The sequence below is a fragment of the Homo sapiens genome, chromosome 5 (assembly GCF_000001405.40).
Source record: "Homo sapiens chromosome 5, GRCh38.p14 Primary Assembly".
NCBI lineage: Eukaryota > Metazoa > Chordata > Mammalia > Primates > Hominidae > Homo > Homo sapiens.
Genome location: NC_000005.10, coordinates 136,079,755 through 136,083,402, shown reverse-complemented (window position 1 = coordinate 136,083,402; position 3,648 = coordinate 136,079,755). Strand labels below are relative to the sequence as shown.

The following is a 3,648-nucleotide window of genomic DNA, read 5'->3' as shown; positions in this document are numbered from 1 at the left end:
ACTATTCCAGGGCACTCAGGATAATGCCTCTGACTAAAGGCTACCCCAGGAAAAAATTATTATATTGATCACGAAAGGGCATATGAAGGGCAGGAAACAAAAACCCCAGGAGGTATGTCCTGCCTCACCTGCTGCTAGCCTTCAATTTCAATTCTACTCCAGCTTGTTGGTATCATTTATTAATTAATTCATCCATTCACGTAACAAATGTTGAGCACTTTCTACTGCCAGGTGCTGTGGCAGGCACTGGGAGACAAATAGCATACGTAAGACAGATATGGTCTCTGTCTTCGTGACACTTGTCTCTACCACATTTGGCAATGTCTGGGTTAATGTCTTGTTAATGGTGGAAAGACGTAGGGTGATGCAACAAAGAGTAAGGAGAGTGTGTGGAGAGGAGAGAGGTGGCCTGGCCCTTTAGACAGAGTGTTCAACAAAGAGTTCTCTGAGGTGGTGGCATAAGAATTGAGTGTTAAAGAATGAGATTGGAGGGTGGGGAATCTCTGAGAAAGAGTGAACAGGATGGAAAGGGCATGCCTGAGAAACCAGAGAAGGCAAGGTGGTTGCAGCAGAGCAAAGAAAGAGGAGAGGGGCACCAGGTACTGCCAGAAAGTTAGGTGGGCACCTGATCATCCAGTAAACCCTGTCTGGATTGGATTATAAGAGAGGAGGTCTTTCAAGGTGCTGAGCTGGGAGGGGATGTGATTTGATTTAGAGTGTACAAAGACAGGGGATTTCCTTACTGTCCAGGGACATTTCCCCACCAGGGGGAGCACCTGGAACGCACCCGCTGGGTCCTTTCTGCTGGCCAGTTTTCATTACTAAATCCAGGCTCCAGGCAACGAAGCCAGGGCTGGATCAGATCAGCAGCTGGAAATGGCTAGCGGGGAAATGGTCATTGGCAGTTATTTTTGTAATTGTTTACCGAGACTACTAGGTACCTAGCCTGAATAAAATGTGTTATTTCAGCATAACTTCCCATACCTCCCTCCATCAGGGGTATGTTATCAATAGCCCCATTTTTGGATGACAACTTGGCAATTACAATGAACATATATGCTATTCAGCCCAGCAATTCCACTTCTGAGAGTTTATCCTCACATTCATGAAATTGCCCATGTTCACAAAAAGGCGTGTGCAAAGGTGTTCATTGGAGCGCTATTGGTAAACTCATGGAAAAAAACAAACAAACAAAAAAACCTTCAATGTCTAGCCCTAACAGGGGATGGCAAAACAAATCATGCTTCATGCACTCTTGGGGAGCCATTATAAATAATGAGGGACCTCCCAGGCATGCTGTGGAATTTCCCACAAAGCAGGTGCAGAACAATGTGTACAGTGCAGTCCTTCATATCAAAACACAGCCATAACCCAAATAAAGCTATATATTTTTAATTATCTTTATATAATAGAAAGAGGACTAGAAGGAGACACAGCAAAATTTTAAAAAACAGTGGTTACCTCTGGGGAGAGATCTGGATTGGAAGCTGCAGTTAGGTCAAGGGTGGTGGGCTTTCACTACCTTTATTGTTTTAATTTTTACTGTACTCGTGGTTTTTGTTTAATACAAAATGAATATGAAAAACAATTAAAAAGTTTAAAGCTACACAGCTAGGAAGAGGGGAAGCTGGATTCAAACCCAGGTTGGGACAGCGCAGTTTCTAGTATAATGGGGTCCTACTATCCCCAGTCACTCACTCACTTAAATGTTTATTGAGTGTCTACTGTGGACCAGGCTAGGAACTGAGGAGGATATAGGGAGACAGCAAAGAACAGAATGGAAGATCCCTGTCTAGTGCAGCTTACCAGTTGTTTGAGATACTTTTAAGCAAGACAGGCAGACAGACATACACTACAGGCAACTCTTTCTTGAGAGTTCAAACTTTGGTTCTGTTCCTGAATATGTCACTTTTTGTTAATTCCTAACATTTCAGTTACTTACCACCACTGATTCTCAGTTTATTCATTTGCAAAATGGGGGCAACATTATGGATCTCAGAGTTGTTCCGGCCATGAAATGAGGTAAATGTTTAACCCAGAGCGTGGCACATGGTGTGTGTGTGCTCAACAAACAGGGACATTATTAATATTCTGAAGGTCCCATTTTCTTTGTTAGCAATTTTCTCCATCCAGCTCCTGAATCTTTCAAAAGAAAAGTAGTGTAGACAAGGGGATGGGTTGGGGAAAAAGAGGAATGATTTATTCTCCTTCAGCCTTAACAGAGCGTTTCTCTTGAGCTATGAAGCTTTTAAATCTTCAGCCTGTGATCTCAATTCTGGGCTTACTCCTGGGCCCTAGTGCCCTGCTAATCACTCATTAATTCATTCAACTCCCCACCCAAAGAGGATTTGCTGATGATGAACTCCGTCTCCAGGGTCCAGCCCAGGACCTGGCAAGAAATGAAACCACAGAACCCCTGCCTTTGGCAAGTTCATAGGCTGCTTCGGGGAGATTTTATGGAGGCCTTAGGCTGCCCCCGTCTGCTGGAGAGAACCCCGAAAAGCCTTTGGCGGGGGTACTCCTCAGCAGCCTGGCTGCTGGACCTAGGTAGACGGCCCACACGCCCCCCCGCACCCTCCTGCCTCCCCTCCAGTGGGTGGATTTTGCCCCCTTCCACGGTTCCCGCGCAGGATGCGGGCGGGAGGAACTGAGAGTCCCTCCAGGACACGTTAGCAGGACGCCTGGCGCAGAGCGGGCGAGACCGCATGACGCAGGCCTCTCGGGGGCGGGGAGCACATGCAGCCCGTCCCTCTCCACATCGTCACTCTTCTATGGTTTAGAAGTTTCAGTCGCACACTCCTACCCGGGTCGGAGTTAGCTCAAGCGGTTACCTCCTCATGCCGGACTTTCTATCTGTCCATCTCTGTGCTGGGGTTCGAGACCCGCGGGTGCTTACTGACCCTTTTATGCAATAAATTCGGTATAATCTGTCACTCTGAAGGCTTTGTTATTTTTTATCCCTTTTAACTTTGCTAAATTAATAGGCTGATAACATAAGTTGGTGTCACTTTGAAGGTGTGACAGAAAGTATGGAGGCTGGCCACTGGTCTTACAGGGCGTGCGTGACCAGCCTGTACTGCCAGGTAGGACGCATGGGGACAAAAAAATGCTTGTGCAGTTCACGAGACACACCTGGAAGCTCCGAGACCCCACAACTTCGGACCGCGGAGTGCGTTATGGATTTCGTCCCAAGTAGGACGGAAGTTTAACAGCAATAGCTGCCGTCTACTGTTTTATCTGTATGACTGTTTTTTTCACATATATTGCCACCCGCCAGGACTTGCCTGTTGGACCACAGCGAGTGAGACTCGCTCCGAATTTTTCTTTACGTCTTTGAAAGTTCCAAGTTTCTTCCTCCCTGGCGGCCTGTACCTACGCTATTCTCACCTGTTCGCATCGTGTCCAGACATTTTATGCAATTTGTCTTTACCTTTAGCGTGGGGGCTCCCCCCTAGAAGCCATACAAGGGCAGGGGCCTCTCCCCTTGCTGTACTTACAGCGTCTAGTACATTGTTGACCAGATTTGAGTATTAGCTGATTTAAGTAGCTTAATGCACAGGGACATGCACATGTGTTTTTCATATTAAATCCCTATAAGTAGAATTGTGGAACACAACTTGCCTATACTTAGGGCTTTAGATTGAAGTG

At 46.4% G+C, this 3,648-nt stretch overlaps 1 non-coding gene across 1 annotated transcript; it reads left to right on the top strand.

Annotated features, from left to right (window-relative positions):
* VTRNA2-1 (vault RNA 2-1) lies at window positions 2,805-2,912 on the top strand. Its single transcript, NR_030583.3, has one exon.